We start from the raw sequence: 22,162 nt of genomic DNA on the forward strand, positions 1-22,162 counted from the left end.
GTGAGCCACCACACCATGCCCAGCTGGCATTCACCTTCAAATAACCTTCAATCAGAAAGAGTTCCTGCACACTCATGTAGTCCCAGCTACTCTTGAGGCTGAGGTAGGAGGATTAGTTGAGCCCAGGAGTTTAAGACCAACCTGGGCAATGTAGTAGCGAGATCCTGTCTCAAGGGGGAAAAAGTAATGTTAAGGTTTTTTGCTTTGTTGTTGTTGTTGCTGTTTTGTTTGTTTCTTTGTTTTTGAGACGGAGTTTTACTCTGTCGCCCAGGCTGGAGTGCAGAGGGCAATGGCGTGATTTCCGCTCACTGCAACCTCTGCCTCACAGGGTCAAGCAATTCTCCTGCCTCAGCCTCCTGAATAGCTGTGATTACAGGCGTGCGCCTCCATGCCCGGCTAATTTTTGTATTTTTAGTAGAGACGGGGTTTCACCATGTTGGCCAGGCTGGTCTCAAACTCCTGACCTCAGGTGATCCACCTACCTCAGCCTCCCAAAGTGCTGGGATTACAGGTATGAGCCATCATGCCCGGCCCCCCAAGTATTTTTTTATATTTCTGAGTGAAGCTATTCTTTAACTTTTTACTTCGAAACTATTTTAAATGTATAGAAAAGTTGTGAGAATTGACCAAATAACTTCTAAACCCGCACTGACCAATTGTTAACATTTTGCTACATTTACTTTATCATTCTTTTCATGCATTTCTTTCCTGAATCATTTGAGAATAGGTTGAAGACATGAGGTCTTCCCTAAATATCTCAGCACATACTTCCTAAGAACAGAGACAGTTTTGAAACGGCCACAATTAAATTATTACAAGTCAGGAAATTGAACTCTGACATACGGCACTTACCTTATCGAATCCACTGGCTGCACAGTGTGGTCCTGGGACCAGCAGCTGCAGCATCACTTGAGCACATGTTAAAAATGAACATTTTCAGGCCCCACTCAGACCTGAGTCAGCGCTCAGTGGGAGCGGAGCCCCGCAGTCACGTTGTGACCAGCTCTTCAGGTGTTAGGCCGGTTGTCCCTTCGCGTCCTTCATAGAATCTGATCCAGGACCACACGTTGCATTTAATTGGCGTGCTCTTTAGTTTCCTTTCTTCTGTACCCCCATTTTCAAGGGGTGCAGGCAAGTTATCTTGAGAATGTTCGTCAATGTGATGTCGCAGCCCCACCGTTGGGAGTGTACAGATGGCAACATATTTTCACACAGTGTGTTTATGAATGTTCAGAGCAAGCCTTCATAATGGCCAAAAACGAAATAATTCACAGTACATGAACTGCTAGTAAATACTATAGATTAAGAGATATTTAGAATTTAAAAGGAATAAATGATATCTACTACACTGTGTATGAACATTGAAAACACTGTGCTAAGTGAACGAAGCAAGACACAAGACTACGTATTATTATATGTAATTCCACTCGGATAAACTGTCCTTTGAAAGGCACATTTAGAGACACAGAGCGGGTCAGGGGCTGCACAGGGCTGGAGGTGGCAGCGGGAGCTTCGGAGAAGTGGAGCGACCCAAAACCGGATTGTGGGGGTCGCTGCGGAACTCTGTAAATTTGCTAAAATCATTGGATTGTACATTTAAAGGGATAATCTTATAGTAAGTCAAGTACACCTCAATTAAGCTGTTCTTAAAAATTGACTATAAACTAACACAGCATCTCAGTTAGTGCCCTCAGAACTGGAGTTGGGACCCAGTAGAGAGGTGGAAAGAAGTGAGGCCTAAGTGCAGTGAGTTTGTTTCAAATAGGTCAATCATCGACGCCGTTATGTTCTGGAAGTAATGAATAATAAAGACGTATAAACTTAAACGTGTTAGTGAATACCATCACTCAATGATATCAGTAGAAATGATAATCTTCCAAATTGTTGGAGAGAAAAAATAACCATGCAAATAAAACAGGACAAACAGAACCAACTCTGTTTACCAGATATGGGGGGTGGGGGTGGGAAGTAACATTCAGAATCGTAAAATAGAAAACATAGAATGAGAGAAGCCTGAATGTTACAACAGTGAGTGCGGAGAAACTGACGTAATGAAAGAAAAAGACTTTGAGACAGGGCCAGGAAAACGCTGCCGCCTACAAGCAACACACCTAAACGGAGTGACCCAGAAGGGTTTAGTGGCACGTCCAGGTTCGTGTGTGAAGAAATAGATGGGTCCCCTTCAGAGTTTGAAGCATGACCCATGTGACCAGATAGGAGAATCTCTCGAGCGCAGGGAAAGCTGGGTGCTGCCTGTGTGGTGGCAGAGTCTGGAGGGCTTGCTGTGCTGGGGACTAAAGAGCAGGAGGACTGCAGGTGAGGCGTGCAGACGACTTTTTATCGGTAAAGATTTTAATGCCATTTGGTAATTTTGTCATTAACATTTATTATGATAGACAAGGCTTCTAGTATCTTTGTTTCAAAACTGGTTTGTTCCAAAGCTAGAGATAAGAAAATTATGCATCTCATCTAGTTTCATAAAAGGAAGTTTGGAGGACCTGCTCCCATCAAAACACTGGAAGATGCAGAGACTTTTGTCAGCTCCTGGCTAATTAGATAATGCTAATCATGTGAGTAGCAATAAAAATTCGAAGTCCTGCCAGACGTAGGTTCTAGACATTCTGACAGCCAACTAAAGAGCCAGCAATAACGTGTGCCTAGGAGTGCGAGAGCCTTCTCCACCTCCGTGATGCCTCCGGGTTCGTGCATGGCCACTTGTGCTGCGTGAGCGTCGTAGGTTTAGGGGAACAGAAGTAGAGGGATTTACATGAGCTTTTAAAATCCCAAATAGACTGGCCAGGTGCGGTGGCTCACACCTGTAATCCCAGCACTTTGGGAGGCCAAGGCGGGTGGATCCCCTGAGGCCAGGAGTTCAAGACGAACCTGACCAACATGATGAAACCCCGCCTCTACTAAATACAAAAAAAAAATCAGCCGGGCATGGTGGTGCATGCCTGTAGTCCCAGCTACTTGGGAGGCTGAGGCAGGAGAATGGCTTGAACCCGGAAGGTGGAGGTTGCAGTGAACCAAGATTGCACCATTGCACTCCAGCCTGGGCAACAAGAGCAAAACTCTGTCTGAAAAAAAAAAAAAAAAAAAAAAAAAAAAAAAAATCCCAAATAGACTAAAAGGGAAAATCCTACCCCAGTCAAGACCCCGCACAATCATAATTGAGTTATACCGTGGAAAACACTTTGAGCATCCATGAGACGGTCTTACTGTTTTTTTTATTTTTCTCAATGTTCTAACATATGTGAAATTTAATTGATTTTTCCATGATAAGTGTTTTTGAAGTTGTTATATGTTAGACATCCAGTTTGGAAAAATCATCTTAATATTTAGGCTTTCCGGTTAGCTTAGTATGCCTGGATTTGCCAGGGCTGCAGAATTAATGTAGACTTAAAGGAAGAGAATGTCTTTCAGTTGAAGTACTATAAATAGCAAAGGCAGGCAGGCATAATTTTAAAGTTATGAAACTCCTTAGTGCCAGATTATTGGAGAAGAATAACATCTGCTAAAGCTAATTAAAGTTTAATATGTTTAATAAATGTGATTGTTACAGACAAAAAATCATTAAAGTGCTGTAGAAAATTGTTAAGTTACCATCAGGCCACATAATAAATTAATGATTTTTCTCACTCTGAATTAATGCAAATTCCCGTTGTACTGTATTTAATTATGCACAAAATGGTGCCCTTGACTCAGATTTCAGTGAAGAACTTCATTTTTTTACTTTTAAGTCTCCAAGTAGGAAATTCAATTAGCGTTATGAAAGAAACACTAAAATGTGGCATTTAATTGCAAAATATATTTTAAGCTTTTCATTTATCCAGTGACTTTGCCAGCAGTCACTGACCCCTTCATTCAGAGATCCTTTTCTGTTTCAAAAATGCAATGCTTCCTTTTTAGTATATTCAAGCATTTGTGAAAATTATTGCCCTCATGTACTCAGAATGCTGAATAATAAGTGTAATAAATGTTATTTCTGGTTCTCCTTTGGTTCTCATTCTAACATTTTTATGAGAGATTTAAAGGAGCAAATAAACTATAATTAGAAAAAAAAAGACAATGGATTTTAGCACATATTATATGCCACATATATATTTTTTAATGAAGTTTACATTTAACAGTAAAGAGACCTACAAAGATCAGTAATAAGAATCATGTAAGTCTCTTCATAGGCTTTTTTTTTTTTTTTTTTTTTTTTTTTGAGATAGAGTTTCGCTCCTGTTGCCCAGGCTGGAGTACAATGGCCCATCTCAGCTCGCTGCAACCTCTGCCTCCTGGGTTCAAGTGATTCTCCTGCCGCAGCCTCCCGAGTAGGTGGGATTACAGGCACCTACCACCACCCCCAGCTAATTTTTTTGCATTTTTAGTAGAGGCAGGATTTCACCATGTTGGCCAGGCTGGTCTCGAACTCCTGACCTCCGGTGATCCACCCACCTCAGCCTCCCAAAGTGCTGGGATTACAGGCATGAGCCACCGCGCCCATCCTCTTCATAGCATTTTGTGGGCTGTGCTCTTACTAGTTTTACCCTTAACATAAATTATATGCTAAACTCAACATATAATTGAAACAAAATCCAACTGAAATGTGGGTGTGGCCAGTTGGGTGCCTGTTGTGCTTTGTGACAGCTTCAGTGCTTCCAAAGGTTCCTGCAGAATGGGACATTGCTCTAGTTTGATTCACATTTGACTACAATGGTTAGAAGGTAATTACCTTTTCTATTTTTTAAATTTTTTTGAACATAAACTCAAGATTGTATTGTCTTCATAATAAAACAAAAGATGACACTTAGAATTGGATGTCTTGGCCCTTCCTCCTCTTCTGTCCTCCCAGTTCAGAATGCTCACATCTCTTTATATCCAGCATCCTCTTACATCTGCACCTATGCTCAACGCACTCAAGCCTCAGCACAAGCTTCTTCGTAGTTCTAGCCTTTTCCCGGAAAATCAGCTTAGTCTGCCCACCGTAGCCGCTATGCTTCGTGTCCTAACACCACCTTCCCCGGGCACCTGTCCTAACGCCACCTTCCCAGGCACCTGTCGTAACGCCACCTTCCCCGGGCGCCTGTCCTAACGCCACCTTCCCGGGCATACAGAGAATCCGTGCCCTTTTGTGCCGTGTCGCTTTGTGGGCTTGCCACACTTACAGAAAGTCGAACGGGGGCCGGGTGTGGTGGCTCACGCACTTTGGGAGGCTGAGGCGGGCGGATCACCTGAGTTCAGGAGTTCTCGACCAGCCTGGCCAACATGGCGAAACCCCATCTCTACTAAAAATACAAAAATTAGCTAGGTGTGATGATGGGCACATATAGTCCCAGCTACTCGGGAGGTTGAGGCAAGAGAATTGCTTGAACCTGGGAGGCAGAGGTTGCAGTGAGCCGAGATTGTGCCATTGTACACCAGCCTTGTTGAGAGAGCAAGACGCCAACTCAAAAAAAAAAAAAAAAGTCTAGCAAGTATTAGGAACATTCACTTTGTGGGAGCGCTGTTGGCACCGAAAGCACTTTTTTTATATTGGATTTTTTTTTTTTTTTTTTACCTTTCAGTAAAAGTAATGTTTTCATTATAGAAAATTGGAAATTGTGATCAAGTATAAGAAACCTATATTTCCTCCCATTCTAACCATTATTTTTTTATGTTTCCTTCCTTTAATTAGTATGTGTTTTATCTACCTACATGAGTGTGTGTTAATGTAGATATGCATAATTTTTTCTGTTTTTGGTAGAGGTAGGGTCTTGCTCTGTTGCCCAGGCTGTCAGAAACTCCTGGCCTTGAGTGATCTCCCACACCAGCCTCCCAAAGCACTGGTACTACAGGTGTGAGCCAACATGCTCGGCCTGTTACACACACACACACCTGGTATTACAGGTGTGAGCCAACATGCTCAGCCTGTTACGTGCACACACACACACCTGGTATTACAGGTGTGAGCCAACATGTTCGGCCTGTTAAGCACAGAGACACACACCTGGTATTACAGGGGTGCGCCAACATGCTCGGCCTGTTACACACACACACACACACACCTGGTACTACAGGTGTAAGCCAACATGCTTGGCCTGTTACACACACACACACACACACACCTGGTATTACAGGTGTGAGCCAACATGCTCGGCCTGTTACACACACACACCTGGTACTACAGGTGTGAGTCAACATGCTCGGCCTGTTACACACACACACACACACCTGGTACTACAGGTGTGAGCCAACATGCTCGGCCTGTTACACACACACACACACCTGGTACTACAGGTGTGCGCCAACATGCTCGGCCTGTTACACACACACACACACACCTGGTATTACAGGTGTGAGCCAACATGCTCAGCCTGTTACACACACACAAACATATATATTTTTAAGACAGAGTTTCACTCTTATTGCCCAGGCTGGAGTGCAATGCGTGATCTCGTCTCACTGCAGCCTGCAACCTCTGCCTCCTGCCTCAGCCTCCCGAGTAATTGGAATTATTACAGGCATGCACCACTACAGCCGGCTAATTTTTTATTTTTAGTAGAGATGGGGTTTCGCCATGTTGGTCAGGCTGGTCTCAGAAATCCTGACCTCAGGTGATCCACCCGTTGTGGCCTCCCAAAATGCTGGGATTACAGTCATGAGCCACTGCTCCTGGTCACGTAATTTTTAAATATAATTTTAGCTGTATCTTGTGTTCAGTTTTCTAGGCTACCTTTTTCACTCAACATTACATCAGGATCATTTTTCCTCATGTTATTCTTTGAGATATTTTTAATGGGCTTGTAGTGTCCCATCATGTGATTTACCAGTTTACTTTCTGTTTTTTAGTTGTTTACAGCTCTTCCTTCGTTGTGATGCTGTGAACCTCTTGTGCATAAATTATCATGTGCATCTCTAATTATTTCTTAGAGTACAGTCCCAGGAGTTGTGAATGTGGGTGAAGCCCCTGCTCCTGCTGCCAGGCCCACCTCTCAGAGAGTTTCGTGTACACGTGTGCAGGGAAGGGCTGACCTAGCTAGGTCTCTGAAACCCGTGCCAGATACTAAATCTGCACAGGCTGCGACAGTGAGCAGACTGAGGGCGATCTGTGCCTTATTGTCTTCCTGTTGGAAGAGAACACATAAATCACGTATCTCAAATGTGAGGCAAATAGCTAATGGTGTTTGTGTATACGAGGAAGGTGGAGTCACCGGTTCTTCGTGGCCATCAGAGGACCGACACGCCCATAGGTCTCATGCATTAAGTCTGCGTTGAGCAATCCCTAACACGGTTTTTGCCTACAGATACATTTGCACAACTGTGAAAACCAGGTACGTATTCATTGCATCATTTTTTGTAAAAAGCTGAGAGAAGTGCCCAGCAACACGTCGTGCCGCGCGTGTGCATGGAACACCATATAGCCTCACCATTAATAGGCAAGATGAGCGAGACCCATTATCAGATGAGAAAAGCACGGCACGGAATACTGTGTCCAATGTGCTCACCGTCTCAATTTTAAACCTAAAGGAGGGAGAACATTTTCTCATGCGTGCATTTCATCTCTGGGAGCACTTAAGACGCTGAAGCGTTGGTTGCCAGTGGGAATGGGAACTGGGTATCTGTGATACAGGGATGAGAATTTTCACACTGTACCTTTAAATACCAGAACGTCATGAACACATCTGAAAAACAATATTCAAATTTCCCTGATCATCTTTCTTTTTTGTTAACAATTATTTAAATTCTGGCACAAGCAAGCCACTTTTCATCATGCATTTGGTCTATAGATGTTCTACCTCCCTCAATTTCGTCTTGTAATTTAATGAATAGGGGAACTGGGGCCGGGCACGGTGGCTCACGCCTGTAATCCCAGCACTTTGGGAGGCTGAGGCGGGTGGATCACGAGGTCAGGAGATCGAGATCATCCTGGCTAACATGGTGAAACCCCGTCTCTACTAAAAATACAAAAAATTAGCCGGGCGTGGTGGCGGGAGCCTGTAGTCCAAGCTATGCGGGAGGCTGAGGCAGGAGAATGGCGTGAACCCGGGAGGCGGATGTTGCAGTAAGCCGAGATTGCACCACTGCACTCCAGCCTGGGTGACAGAGCAAGACTCCGTCTCAAAAAAATAAATAAATAAAAATAATAGGGTAACTGGGTTGCTTCTTTGTATCTCTTGAAAACTGATAGAGGTCTCATCAGATTCTAAATTTGAATTTTTCTTTTTTTGGCAATAACATCACATAGGTAATGTCGTATGCTTCCCATTCCCTTAATCATCGTGGAGATCCACTTCTCGTGAGTCATCTCCCCACAATGCTGGGATCGATCTCTGCGTCAGAATTCCTCTTGATTTTAGTGGTCACTTATCACTGCCTAGATCCATTGTTTAATGTGCTTCTAAAACAGCCGTGTTCTAATTACATAATTGTATAATTTATTAGCTGGAATTTTCTATTTAAAAACAGCTTTGTTTCTTCTCACCAATGATTTGGTTAACCCGAGTAATAGCTTGTACAGGAAAGATAGAATAAATCTTGATCCTTTTTAAAAAATTTTTATAGACAGGGTCTCACTGTGTGTTGCCCAGGCTGGAGTGCAGTGGTGTGATCATACCTCACTAACCTCGACCTCCTGGGCTCAAGACATCTTTTCACCTCAGCCTCCCAAGTAGCTGGGAGTATAGGGGCAGACCACCACACCTGGCTAATTGTTTTGATTTTTATTTTTAGTGGAAATGAGGTCTCGTTATGTTGCCCAGGCTGGTCTCGAACTCCTAAGCTCAAGCCATCCCCCAGCTAGGCCTCCCAAAGTGCTGGGACTACAGGTGTGAGCTATGCGCCTGGCCTGGAATGTTATTTATCCCTTTTTATGCCTGAAGCACAGTGCATAATCTTTTATGTAAGTTAGAACTAAGCCATCAATGTAATTTTTTAAAAAAGCAAATGTGGGCCAGGCACGGTGGCTCACGCCTGTAATCCCAGCACTTTGGGAGGCAGAGGTGGGCAGATCACAAAGTCAGGAGTTCAAGACCATCCTGGCCAACGTGGTGAAACCCCTTATCTAGGAAAAATCCAAAAATTAGCCAGGCATGGTGGCAGGCACCTGTAATCCCAGCTACTTGGGAGACTGAGGCAGGAGAATCGCTTGAACCTGGGAGGCAGAGGTTGCAGTGAGCTGAGATGGCGCCATTGCCCTCCAGCCTGGGCGACAGAGCTAGACTCCATCTCAAAGAAAACAAACAACAACAACAAAGCAAATGTGGTTTCGGGAAAATGTGACTGCAATGGTAACTTTACTGATTGGAGCAGGCACATTTTGTGTACTTTGTATTAAAACTCATGTAATGCCATGCTTGTTACAGTGACATCTTGCACACATGCTGTTTTTCAGGAGTTGTATCCCGCATTTTGTATTCACAACGGAGGCTCCGACCTTGAGCGGCTCCCCACAGCCAGCACCTGCATGAACCTGCTGAAGCTCCCCGAGTTCTATGACGAGACACTTTTGCGAAGTAAACTTCTCTATGCGATTGAATGTGCCGCTGGCTTTGAGCTGAGCTGAAGCTGATGCTGGGGTCAGACCCCTACAGAGAACCAGTGCTTCCTTCGTCAGCAGCGCCTCCCCAGACCCACGAGGATACTCACACTGCACGCCTGAGGCTCTCCTAAGCTCCTTCTTTCATTCTGCCATTCCTCCCTCCCTTCCTTTTTTAAATGATTTTTATTACGGTGTGGTCACTTATTTAGATGGACATTGCTTTTCAAATAACTTAAAATAACACGTTATGTGCCATGTGGCTACTTTAGTAATATTGCCAAGAAGAGCACAGTTTTTACACTAGTGGCATCTCAGTGAAATTAACCAAAGATGAAGCTTTGGCTTTGCTGGTGAGATCAGAGCCCTCCTGAGCAGGCAGCGCCACTCCAGGGTTCAGACAGGGCTGCACAGGCGGCAGAGATACAGGGTCTGAGGGCTGAGACGCCATGGGGCCGCTGCTGCTTATGTGGTTGGATTGTTTACAAGCCTCATTATTAAAACTGAAGGCATTTTTTTTTTCTGCTGCCTTTCCCAAAGTGGTTAGGTTTGGAAAAGAGATGATGATGGTAATATTTTATTTGTGCTTTTTAAGCCATTTCCCCAAATGGGACTAGCATGCTTGTTTTCAGTATACCGTGGCCTGCCTCATGATGGTTTGGAGATACTGTCTGTGGATGTGAGGTGGGGACTTCATTCATTGTCCTATTTCTATCTCCACTTTGTGCCTGGAGAGCTTTCAGGGGAGGTGGAGGAGGAGGGTCTGCCAAGCTACTGCAACATCTGTCACCCACTATACCCAGTTACTTGGGGGAGGACAGACACTGTGGTGTCATTAAAGTTGTTTGAACCAAAGTGGCGGCTGCATCTTTGTCCCGATGCTAGCCGTGCCGGTCTCCCATCATCCGCTCGCCCTCCTTTCCCCTGGGCTGCGCCCACTTGTCTTCCTGGATATTTGGGGGTGACTCGCCATGCTTGGCACCCTCTGCTTCCTGGTGCTGCTCTGACTCGAAGACGGGACAGTCCCTGGTGCACATCCAGGGAAGAGGAGTGTCGGTAGTTCTTGCAGTAGGCACTTTATCAGGACCTGACCTGTTGCTGGGTGATTTTAGTCTCTACAAACAGAAAGCGTTTCAAAGCGTCAGCTGTGGGAGCAGAGTGACCCTTTGCTGATGCTGGGGGGAGGGGATCTAAATCCTCATTTATCTCTTCTATGTCTCGTATTTTACTGTCACTGGAGGCTCTGTGGGCTGTCATAGTTAATTGACCATAATTAGCAATATACTTTTAAAGTGGGAAAGCTGAATGACACTTTTAAGACAATGAACATTATCAAAACAAAATGTATAATTTCTTAATTTGAATAATAAATTAAGCGTTTAAATGCTATTTGTAGTCTTGATATACAGAAATAAAATAATTAGGGTTGGTCTTTTTTATTTTAGGTTGTTTTATGTTGAATGTTCTATATCTTATTAGTTAATTTGTATATTTTATTAGTATTTTGGAAATAGCATATCTGAGACTGAAGAGAAATTGACAATTCACTTATTTGTGGTTTTTTTCTCAGCTATTCTGAGCTTATTTATTTATTTGTATGTTCTAATGGCTAAACATTTACATTAAATGTTTTTTTTCCCAAGATTGTGTTGGAGTCCTACCCCAAATCATTGTGATTAGCACAGCTTCTGAATGTTACTAGTTTTATCACAGGTGTTTGCATGTCACCAGCTAATGGAGTATAGTAAGATGGCCTACACTCACTGAGAATCAGAGGTCCTCGGGAGGATGCCTGTCATCAGGGGTGGGCCGAGCGTGGCTCCCAGGCCGGCGGCCGGTGTGCTCCTATCCGACCAGCCACGGGTGTTGGCTTCCCGAGTCTCCCATTGGGTCTGGCATTAGTTCTTGAAAAATTTCTGGAGGAAGATTCTTTGTTCTTTGTTTTGTTTGCCCTTTTCTACGTTCTGTCCTACTTTCTGCTTTCTGGTAATTTTGTACACAAACCTAAATGTTGACTTGGGGTTATTGCAGATACTTCTCATGAGGTGTTATCTGCAGAGAGATCTTTGTTTTGGTATCCTGAGCTCGTTAAGGCAGCTTTATCGATTGCAGTGGTTTACAGGATGGTGTGTGCTTTTGCGGAGTGTGGGAAACCAGATACTGCATCCCTGCCCATCGTGAGCCTGCAGTCTACACTCTATGTATCCCTGCCGTTGACATGCAGGCCTCCAGTGGTGGAACTGGGAGCACGGGAAAGGCTGTGGTGGGGTTAATGACTCCTTCCAGGAACTTCCTGAGGAGGTGAGTGGTGAACCTGAAATAATTGAATACGTAAGCTTTCTCATACTTGAAAGAAATAAACAGCCAAAGGCATATGGTAACTCAAATAGAAATTCAGGGCATGCTCAGCTCTTTCAGATCCACCTGCTCCGGGTCAGCAAGCATCACAACTAGCAGGGTAGTCTAGGAAGTGACGCAGCCACCCTGTGCATCCCTCACAGAACAGCAGGTTCACCTGGAGGTTTTTCTAATGAGAAATTACCTAGACTTCCCAAACACGGGCTGAATGCTGGAGTGCTACACTGTGGCATGCTGGGATCAACCCAGAGGGCTTTTCCTGGTGCTTGGATGGTGGTCAAAGTTGGTGACCTGAAGAGACTGGTGACCAGCATGTCCAGGTGGGAAAAGGCACTGACTACACAAAGGTCTCTGCTTCCAGAAAATTCTGAGGGTAAGTTCTTGAGCCCAAGTGCTTTGTGCCTCGACTGATTTATCTGTGAAACAGGGACAGTCTGGAGGCTTGGGTTTCACAGGAGCATTCTGGAGATGCCATGAGCATTGTAGACAGGCTTTTGACTTTCACATACTGTAAACCACGTTTTAATTTGTCTCCCTAGGCGGTTGGTGTCACAGGTTGCAAACATCACATCTTCAAAAGTCTGCCCTAACAGCCTACAAGGTTACAATAGTTTTGGCCAAGGTCTTAACAATAAAAATATTGCTGTATAAAGGCAACGTTACTACTACTTTTTCTTCTGCAGAGGTAGGCAGAAAACGGTAATCTCTTTAAATGCTGTTCTCTTTTTATGTGCATTTTTCTTTTTTTGAGACAGAGTCTCGCTCATTTGCCCTGGCCAGAGTGCAGTAGTACTATCTGGGCTCACTGCAAGCTCCGCCTCCCGGGTTCAAGCGATCGTCCTGCCTCAGCCTCCCGAGTAGCTGGGATTACAGGCGTGAGCCACCGCGCCCGGCCCCACTTTTGCTTTAAGAGGATGGTTCACGTTCTGATTACTGAGATGGATTGCTGTGGTTTGGATTCATCGATTGCGCACTTCTAAATGTTGACAGGAGGCAGTGTCCGTCATTAGCTTATAACTGAGGGCCTTATTTATGTTCAAAATACTGAGCTGAAGACTCTTGACACCAATTTTACCGTTCAGATAGGAGCTCCCACCACCAGCCTCGTCTTCCCTGACCCTGGAGTGGGCAAAAGCAAACATAGAGGCTCGAAGGGTGTCACAGGAGGGAACCATAGCCAGCCAACTGGGGCTGCCTAGAGAGGCAAATACGGCAGAAGTCACTGGGTTTTTCTTTCTGCACGATCCAGAATAAAGAAAGGCACACCTGTTGTGCTCATTAAGGTGATCTTATGTCATGGAAGCAGCCTGGTGTCAGTCTTGAATTTATCGTGGAGGGTGTTCACATACTGAGTCACCCAAAGAATTCAATTGCTGGCAATGTTTCTTAGATTTGTGGATAGCACAAGGTCCATGCGTCTCCTTGAACTGCCAGGATTGCAGACAGAAGTCCGCCTCCACGATGGGTGCTCCACGCCTTCACAGCTCAGGACCCGCATGTGAACTGGCCAGCGTCACTCCACGTACGCACCGTGCTAGGTAATGGGATGGCGCCGATGGACTGATGAGTTTGAGGTGATGACTGAATGGATGCTGTCGTGCTTGCATCCACAGACTTGACAGGACCAGAGCTGTTAGAGCTCATTCAAGTGTGAGGGGGGTAGTCTTTCTTAAAATGGTATCGTGTTCATGGTCATCAGCTCCCTGTGGCTGCTGTAGCAAATTACCACAAATCAGGTGGCTTAAAGCAGCAGCATTTCTCTCCTCCAGGGATCAGGAGGCCTCACAGCCTCAGGGAGGAACCCTTTGTCTCCTCCAGCTTCTGGTATCTGGTGTCTTCTCCCCCTGTCTCCAGTGTCCTGCCTTTTTCCTATAGACACCCCTGTAATCCAGGATGACTTCATCTCAAGATCCTCAATTACATCTGCAAAGACTTTTTCCAAATAAGGCCATGTATGTACACATGTCCTGGAGTCAGGACGTGGCCTGTTTCTTTGGGCAGCCCCATTCTGGCTGTGTTGATTTAAGTGTGGTAGGTAGACCCGTGGGGATTTCGAAACGTGTTCTGGTTGTACTTGGCTGTTGCCCACGCAGACGCAAACAAGCCTTTCCTTTGACTCAGTAAAACGAGCGGTGCATGAGATCAGTGTTCCCGGCCCTTCCTGAAGGCCATTGTGTCTCTAGGGGTTGGGGCTTAGCAGTCTGTATTTTTTATAGTGTCCTGGATAATCCTTCACAGGTGATTTCTGGAAAACAATTAGACAGTCTCAAAAAATCCTTTCAATGTTAAAAACTTCTAGGTTGGGAGTTGCAGGGCATTCCAGCTGATTTGCCTGGAGTTCATTTCTGGTGCTCCAGGGAGTCCTGATACCCGCAGCACCTGGGCCGGAACCTCCAGCTGTACGTGCCATCCAGGCTCCATGGAGGATGGTCTGTGGCACAGCTGCCGACTGCTCGGCTGTGGCCTGGCCCACAGCCCTTCGAGCCTCTACGTTTGCTTTTGCCCAGTCGGGGGTCAGGGAAGATGAGGCTGGTGCTGGGAGCTCCTATCTGAACCGTAAAACTGGTGTCAAGAGATCTTCAGCTCAGTATTTTGAACATAAAATAAGGCCCTCAGTTATAAGCTAATGATGGGTTCTAGAGGCTAATTGCAGCCCGGAGCCAGACGTGAGACTCCAGTCCGGACTGCGTTCTATGTTCCCGACACGCGGGCTGTCCCTAGGCACCTGGCCCTCCTCAGGTCAGCCTGGCCTTCTCCCACTCAACACCTACCACTGCATCACAGACCCTCCCAACAACACCTGAGGCCTTCCTGCCGCTTTCTCTGCCCCTCCCTGTCCCAAGCCATTGGCTTAGAATTGCAGCAAAGTGTCCTCCGTCCTCAGTTCCTGCCCACTGCCAAAGTGACCCTGACCTCAAGTCAGTTCATGACACTCTGGGCAAGACCTTCCAGTGTGTCCCCAGCTCAGGGAGAGCTGAGACCCTGTCATTCGCCCCTGGTGCCATCAGACCGCGCCCCTCCCCGGCTTGGGGCCCTGGGATGTGTGCTGTGCTGTGGCGCATGGCTGATCTCGTGTTGTACAGCAGTTTATTGCCCAGTGCCACCTCCCCTGCCACACCCTATTTAAAACACAGCCCCCCTGACCTCAGCACATCCATCCTCTCTTATTGGTATCTTTCTCTAGAGTGCTGATTTTCATCTAATACACCATGTACTTCACTCACCTATTACTTCCTTTCTCCCCCACCATGTAAGTTTCATGGAGGGTGGGAGGTTAGTAAACTGCTGTTTACCAAGCATGTAGAATAACGCCTTGCACACAGCAGATGCTCAGTAAATACTGGTTGAGTGCATGGATTTGCTACATCTATGGAGAACAGTCTTGCTAACTAAGGTAAATTTCAAGTTAGCCCCTGTATGGTTCCTACCCTCAATTCTTGGACCCCCATTTTTCTCACGAGAGCCTCCCTGCGGCTGCCAGCCGGCCCTAGCTCAGGGTAGGAGTGGGCGCCCGGTGCAGGCCGCCCAGGCACCGCCTTTCTGGTGGTCCCACTGCGGGCAGCTGCCCACGTGTCCAGCAAGTGCCTGCCTGGCCTGCTCCAGACCCCGGGTCGGCTTCGTGGTCCTGGGCAGTGCGTGGGCTCCATCTGGTGGTCAGGAGTGGGCACTGCGTGTGGAAGGGCGCCCGGCGCTCTGGAAGGTGATCTTCACCCGGGTGCCTGCCCCCGCAACCAGAGTCAGCAGGCTTGCACTGCTTGTGTCTCCTCATCAGGAAGTGGCTAATAAAATAGCAATATAAAGCTGACCTTTTAAGAGAAATGTTAAAGTTTTTGAGATGGAGTTTCCCTCTTGTTGCCCAGGCTGGAGTGCGGTGGTGCAATCTTGGATCACTGCAACCTCTGCTTCCTGGGTTCAAGCAATTCTCCTGCCTCAGCCTCCCACATAGCTGGGATTACAGGCACCCGCCACCACGCCCAGCTAATTTTGTATTTTTAATAGAGACAGGATTTTGCCATGTTGGCCAGGGTGGTCCCAAACTCCTGACCTCAGGCGATCCGCCCACCTTGGCCTCCCGAAGTGCTGGGATTACAGGCGTGAGCCACTGTGCCCAGCAGAAATGTTAAAGTTTAACATCCCATTGCCTTAGTTCCTCAAATGTTACACACACAGCAGCAAGCCAGCAGTTTCTACTAGGTTTACAGTAGAGAAGGGAAACCTGGCCAGGCACCCGAGCTCATGTCTGTAATCCCAGCACTTTGGGAGGCCAAGGCAGGTGGATCGCTTGAGGCCAGGAGTTTGAGACCAGCCTGGGCAACATGGCAAAACCCCATCTCTACAAAAAATAAAAAGGTTAGCAGGGCATGGTTGGTGCACGCCTGTGGTCTCAGCTACTCTGGAGGCAGAGGCAGGAGGATCGCTTGAACCCAGGAGGTCGAGGCTGCAGTGAGCTATGAATGGCACCACTGCACTCCAACCGGCCACAGTGTGAAACTCTGTCTCAAAGAAAAGTGAAAACCTTTGTCCACACACAGACTTGTACACAAATGTTCATAGCTGCCTTATTCACGATCGCCAAAGGATGGAAACACACAAGTGTTCATCAGCTGAGGAAGGAATAAACATTATGTGGTCCCTCTGTGCAGTGGAATAGGACTTGGTCGTAAAAAGAAGTGTGGGCCAGGCGCGGTGGCTCACGCCTGTAATCCCAGCACTTTTGGAGGCCGAGGCGGGCAGATCACGAGGTCAGGAGATCAAGACCATCCTGGCTAACACGGTGAAACCCCGTCTCTACTAAAAATACAAAAACAATTAGCCGGGCGTGGTGGCGGGCGCCTGTAGCCCCAGCTACTCAGGAGGCTGAGGCAGGAGAATGGTGTGAACCCAGGAGGCGGAGCTTGCAGTGAACCGAGATTGCGCCACTGCACTCGAGCCTGGGCGACAGATTGAGACTCTGTCTCAAAAATAATAATAATAGTAAGTAAAAGGAAGTGTGATACACAGCAGCATGGGTGCGCCTCAGGGACGTTAGATACAAAAGGACACATGCTGGGTGACTCCTTGACCTGAAGTGTCCAGCACAGGCACATCCCCAGAGGCGGGGTGCAGACTGGTGCTTGTTAGGGCTTAGGAGGGAAGAGACGGGCACTGACAGCTGATGGGTACAGGGCTTCTTTGGGGGCTGACGAGAATGTTCTGGAATTGGTGGTGGTGGCTGCACAATCTTGTGAATATACTTAGAAATAGGAAACTGTACACAGCTGGCCCTTGCGTAACACGGTCTGAGCTGTGCAGGTCCACCAAAGCGTGGGTGGGTTTCTTTTTTTTTCTTTTTCTTTTTTTTTTTTTTTTTTTTTTTGAGATGGAGTCCCAGCCTCCCGAGTAGCTGGGACTGCAGGCGCCCACCACCACGCCTGGCTAATTTTTTTGTATTTTTAGTAGAGACGGGGTTTCACCGTGTTAGCCAGGATGGTCTCGATCTCCTGACCTTGTGATCCACCCGTCTCGGCCTCCCAAAGTGCTGGGATTACAGGCGGGAGCCACCGCGCCCGGCTACATGGGTGGTTTTCCATGAAAGCTGCCCTCTATTGAGAGGCCAGCCTCTCACCTCGCCTTCCGCCTGCCCTTCCTCCTCTAGCCCACTTTATTGTAAGAATACAGCATATGATACGTAACATAGAAACCATGTGCTAACCACTGTTGATGTCACCAGTTGGTTAGGCTTCTGGTCACCAGCAGGCCGAGTTACATTTTTGGGGAACACTGCCTAGTTCAGAGGAAAGACTGGAGTTGGAAATTCTGTCAAACCCATTTGAAGAAGCTTGGAATTTTCTAATTTGGGGGTGTATTTACCTTATTTCATTCTTACCTTTGCTGAGGCTTCCAGTTCAGAAAGAATGGGCCTGGGGCGGTCTTTATCTTCCCCCAGGACCCCCAGTCGAAGGATCCCTTCCTTTGAGGTGGGGCCCACATGGATCTGCAGGGGCCTCCCCTCCCTGCAGCACCCTCGCCCCCCTCCCCTACTCAGGGGCCCCTGGGACCAGAGACCTCAGCCCTAGGGACACCCTGGTGGGCCTGTGCTGCCACCGAGGCCCCTCTCCTCTCTCCGGGGCTGACCGCGGTGGCCGTAGGGGCCTTGCCAGGGTCTGCAGATTCAGGGGGCAGTTTCCTGTTCTGCAGCAGAAGGCGTCCTTGCACAGTCCCCGTGCAGCAATGATGTGTGTGTGAGCACAGGCCCTGGCCACTGCGGGGCAGGCAGAGGGAGCCGGTTCTCCACCTGCCCAGCTGGGACCCCAGTGTGGGACCTGTTTCCTGATCCGCCGCATCTGGGGCTGTCACCTGCAGCTCAGACTGTGGTGCCCGCGGCCAGGTAAGGTTCACACATTATGTTCACATCCAGACCCCACAGATGTGAGGGGCCCCAGCAGATGTTCTGCACCAAGTAAGGGATGAACAGACAGGCCCAGGTCCAAGGCCTCCTGCCCCCTCTCTATTGCCCCCGCCTGGTCTTGCTGAGGCTCCTAAATGGGGTGACAAGGGCAAGGCCAGGACTCCCAGCCACCCTTACCACCCTGTGCCCTGACACCCAGCCAGCTCCTCACCTAAGACCCATCCAACATCTTGGACTATCATTCAAGGAGGAAAGACACCTTGATCCATCTTCAGAGTCCCAACATTACTAAGACAGCCACCTAAGACACCATGAAAGGAAGGCTGGTCACAACAAGGACTGATGAGGCAGGAAGTGCCTGATAAATTCACTCAGAATGTGGTCATTGCTTCCTGGATACAATGAAGTCAACACTGAAAACTCACAGGAGAGAAGTCCCCCTGGAGGGAGCCTCCCCTGTCTACTGGGGGGACTGTTTCGCTGTAGCAGTGTGGGGCCATCCACTCCCTGCTTCAGGGCTATCCCCCGTCTACTGGGGGGACCATTTGTCTAACGGGGCAGCATCACCCACTGCAGGAATCACCCCTGTCTACTGGGGAGACCGTCCCCCGTTCAGTCTGGGGCCTCAGCCTCTGAGGCAAGCAGGGGAGAACCGGGCAGAGTCTGTTGACTTCGGATGGTCCTAATGGCCTCAGTTTCTGAGCAACTCCTTTCTGCGTCTCCCCACACCGGCGCTCCCGTTCCTCCAGCCAGGCTCCCGTGTGTCCTCCTGGTGCCTGTCCTTCCCCCGGGTGTGGGCTCCTTCGCAGGCGCTGCCCACCCCCCACCTCCTGCAGCCACTCATGGCCGGCTCTGGGCCCTGGATCCCCGGAAGGCACACACATTGAGGAAGAGGCTGTGTCTCCTCTCCCCTCCCCTTGCCGGGCTGCTGGGGGCAGTCCTTGGCCGGCTGCCCATCTGTGCCATCGTCTGCACAGAATGGAAAGTGAGCGTCTGTCATGCTCAGTAATTCCATGTCTGTTGAATCTAATATCAAAAGATCTGGGCATCTGTGCTGTGTGTCTGAGTTTTTTCATTTCATTTTCTAGTGATGAGTGTTGAGTGCAGGTTGCCACATACAGAGCAGCGAGACCGCTGGACTTTCGCTCTGCCCAGTGCTTGGTGGCCCCCCAAGGAATGTGTTAAGTGACCTCCTTTATTTTTATTTTGTTTTATTTTTTGACACAGGGTCTCCCTCTGTCGCCCAGTCTGGAGTGCAGTGGTGCGATCTGGGCTCACTGCAACCTCCATCTCCTGGACTCAAGCGATGTTCCTGTCTCCGCCCCCCGAATAGCTGGGATGACAGGTGCGTGTCACCGTGCCCAGCTAATTTTTGCATTTTTTGTAGAGACGGGGTTTCACCATGTTGCCCAGGCTGGTCTTGAACTCCTGACCTCAAGTGATCTGCCCGCCTTGGCCTCCCAAAGTGTTGGGATGACAGGTGTGAGCCACCATACTGAGCCGAAGTGACTTCTTTTCAAGGAGGTTTCTAGGGGCCTGGAATTGCTTTTCACAGGGGGATGGGGACTTGATTTACTCCTGAAAGGGTGAGGGGCGATGGTGTCCCCCTCCCCAGGTCACCCCTTGAGCTGCCATGGGCTTCCAGTGTGCAGGAGCCTTTGGGGACAGGAGACAAGGACAAAACACTTGCCTTAGGGGACCCTTGAATGAGGGCTGTCACTGGCTTAGGTCACCTGGGGAAGCTGCTTACCCTCAGGTGGGTGCCTGGAGTCTCATTCAGGGAAGGGCAGAGCCTAGGGTGGGGGCGCACCCTCAGACAGTGCAAGGGATCTGCAGGGATGTCAGAGGCTCTGTCCCAGACAGACAGGCCCACAGGTGGGCACCACACCAGGGCCACCACCCTAGCCCCACAGCCAGGCCACCCCCAGATGGGCAGCCTGGGCCCATCTTGACGCTGTCAGCTCCCATCCAACTCAGATGCCCGCCCCCCCTCCAGGGGAAGCAGGGAACCCTCGTGTGGGTGGAAGCTCCTGTTCCTTTAGAATGGAGATTGCAGCTGGGCACAGTGGCTCACGCCTGTAATCTCAACACTTTGGGAGGCCAAGGCAGGAGGACCCATTGAGCTCAGGAGATCTGTAGAGCGGAAGGAGGGTCTGGTTCTTCGACACGTGTTTGAGAGATGCTAGCAGCCAAGGCTGGGCTCTGGAGGCCGACAACACAGAAACACACTGTGTCCCAGTTCTGGAGGCCAAAGTTCAATGTCAGCATCGCTGGAGCAAAGCCCCTCAGGGGCTCGGGGACCCTCCTCCCCTGGTCCCGCTCCTGGGGTGCAATAGGCCTTGGCTGGGTCTGCATCGCCCCACCCCCCTCGCCTGTGAGCCTGCCCTCTGCTTCCTCGGTGATGCCACGGAGCCCCGCTGGTCCAGCAGCAGCTGACCTGGGCTGTTCTCTTTTCTTTTTTTGTAGAGACGGGGTCTGGCTGTGTTGCCCAGACTGGTGTTGAACTGGCCTTGAGCCACCTCCTGCCTCAGCCTCCCCACGTGCTGGGAGTGAGGCTGAGCCACGGGGCTGGCTGCTGTGGGCGAGTTTCCTCCGTGGGACCCTGGGCTCAGATCCTCCCAGGGCCTGACCCCTCGGACACACGGACAGTATGCGCTGGCTGTATACCTGGGTCACCCGTGCCCACACCGAACCCAGCACGAGGCCCACTTCATTTCCGTATTCGTCCGCTCGCCCAGTAAACAGTGAGAACGCGCAAATCCCTGCGGGGCCCGGGCTTCCGGGACGGGCTGGACGGACAGGCCTGAGGGGCGCGGCCCGGGGACGCGGGAGGGGGCGTGGGAGGCGGAAGTCCCAGGAGAGCCTCTGGGGACTCCAGGGCCGCGGGAGCGGTTGTGGGTGCGGGGTCGGGATTTGCATTTCCCGCGCTGGGCCGGCGGACGCCCGAGGCCTGCAGGAGACCCGGGGCCCAGGGCTCGGAGTCCAGGAGGTGATTCGGGAGGGCCTGGGACGGCCCCGGGGCCAGGGGTCGAGCCGAGAGGCGGCCCCGCGCCGCTCCCAGGAAGGAAGGAGAGCCACGCCCGGCCCCGCCACGTTCCAGAGACTTGGAACCGCGCAAAGGACGCTTCGGACTCGGCCACCCTGGGGGCCTGGCGGCCGCTCTCCTAGAAAACGGGTCCGCGGAGGGAGGACCGGGGCTCCCGCAGCCAAGGCTCCTCCCCGCCCGCTCCAGCCCGCAGCCCTCCGGGCCCTCCAGAGCCGCGGTCCCGAGAGTCCTCGGGGGTCCCCACCGGGGGCCGGAGGTCGGAGGAGGGAGGCGAGGCCTGCGCGGGACGGTGCCGCGCGGATGGCAGAGGACGCCCGTGGGTGTCGCCCCCACGCCGGCTGCTCCGGGCCCCCCGCCCCGCCCCCACTCCTGCCCTGACCTGGGAGCGGCCGCCGCCGTCCAGTCCCACCCGACAAGGACTTCAGAGCGCTGACCGCAGGGGGCACAGGGTACCAGAAGGTTCCGCCCTGCATGCTTCCAGCTTGGCTGAGAAAGGAGCTGCCGGCCATGGAGGCTGTCGGGAAAGCGCCCTGACGATGAGAGATGCACGAGGGTCCTCGGGGGTGTCCTCAGGAAGGAGCTGAGCAGGTCCTCAGCTCGCCCCACCTCCCCGACAGGTGCACACCCGGCGGGGGCTGAGGTGGGCCCTCCTCTGTCTCCGTGGCCTCCTTGGTACCATGAGCACAGGGCCTGGTCATGGACACCTTCAGCCAGGAGTGTCCCTTCCAGAAAGGGGGAGCCGCCCGGGAAGGTGTTCCGGCGTGCTCAGTCCTTCAGTGACAGCACTGTGACCACTCCAGGTGCCTGGCACAGGCAGAGGTGGTGGCCGCCAGAGCTGGGGGACGCTCCCAGGGTGTAAGGCCAAGGC

The 22,162-nt window shown here is 49.8% G+C and overlaps 1 protein-coding gene and 1 pseudogene across 3 annotated transcripts in view, besides 3 other annotated features; one reads left to right on the plus strand and one right to left on the minus strand.

Annotated features, from left to right (window-relative positions):
* The window catches only part of UBE3C (ubiquitin protein ligase E3C), a 130,445-nt gene extending 119,301 nt beyond the window's left edge, over positions 1–11,144 (plus strand). For all 3 annotated transcript variants that reach the window (NM_014671.3, XM_005249564.5, XM_047421072.1), the window contains one exon: positions 9,359–11,144. In NM_014671.3, the coding sequence (NP_055486.2) occupies positions 9,359–9,529 (171 nt within the window). In that variant the 3' untranslated portion in view covers positions 9,530–11,144. The remainder of the gene's footprint in view (positions 1–9,358) is intronic.
* On the minus strand, positions 4,796–5,175 carry RPL36AP30 (ribosomal protein L36a pseudogene 30; annotated as a pseudogene).
* Positions 13,589–14,357: an enhancer, noted in NCBI's record as "H3K4me1 hESC enhancer chr7:157064509-157065277 (GRCh37/hg19 assembly coordinates)". NCBI's record gives its function as "activates a minimal SCP1, AML or CMV promoter by ChIP-STARR-seq in naive H9 embryonic stem cells {active_cell/tissue: H9 hESC(naive)}" and the evidence as "EXISTENCE:reporter gene assay evidence [ECO:0000049][PMID:30033119]".
* Positions 13,749–14,043: an enhancer, noted in NCBI's record as "tiled region #10383; HepG2 Activating DNase matched - State 5:Enh, and K562 Activating non-DNase unmatched - State 17:Gen3'". NCBI's record gives its function as "activates a minimal TATA promoter and a strong SV40 promoter by Sharpr-MPRA in HepG2 and K562 cells {active_cell/tissue: HepG2 | K562}" and the evidence as "EXISTENCE:reporter gene assay evidence [ECO:0000049][PMID:27701403]".
* Positions 14,358–15,127: an enhancer, noted in NCBI's record as "H3K4me1 hESC enhancer chr7:157065278-157066047 (GRCh37/hg19 assembly coordinates)". NCBI's record gives its function as "activates a minimal SCP1, AML or CMV promoter by ChIP-STARR-seq in naive H9 embryonic stem cells {active_cell/tissue: H9 hESC(naive)}" and the evidence as "EXISTENCE:reporter gene assay evidence [ECO:0000049][PMID:30033119]".

This window comes from Homo sapiens, chromosome 7 (genome assembly GCF_000001405.40).
Source record: "Homo sapiens chromosome 7, GRCh38.p14 Primary Assembly".
NCBI classification, from domain to species: Eukaryota; Metazoa; Chordata; class Mammalia; order Primates; family Hominidae; genus Homo; species Homo sapiens.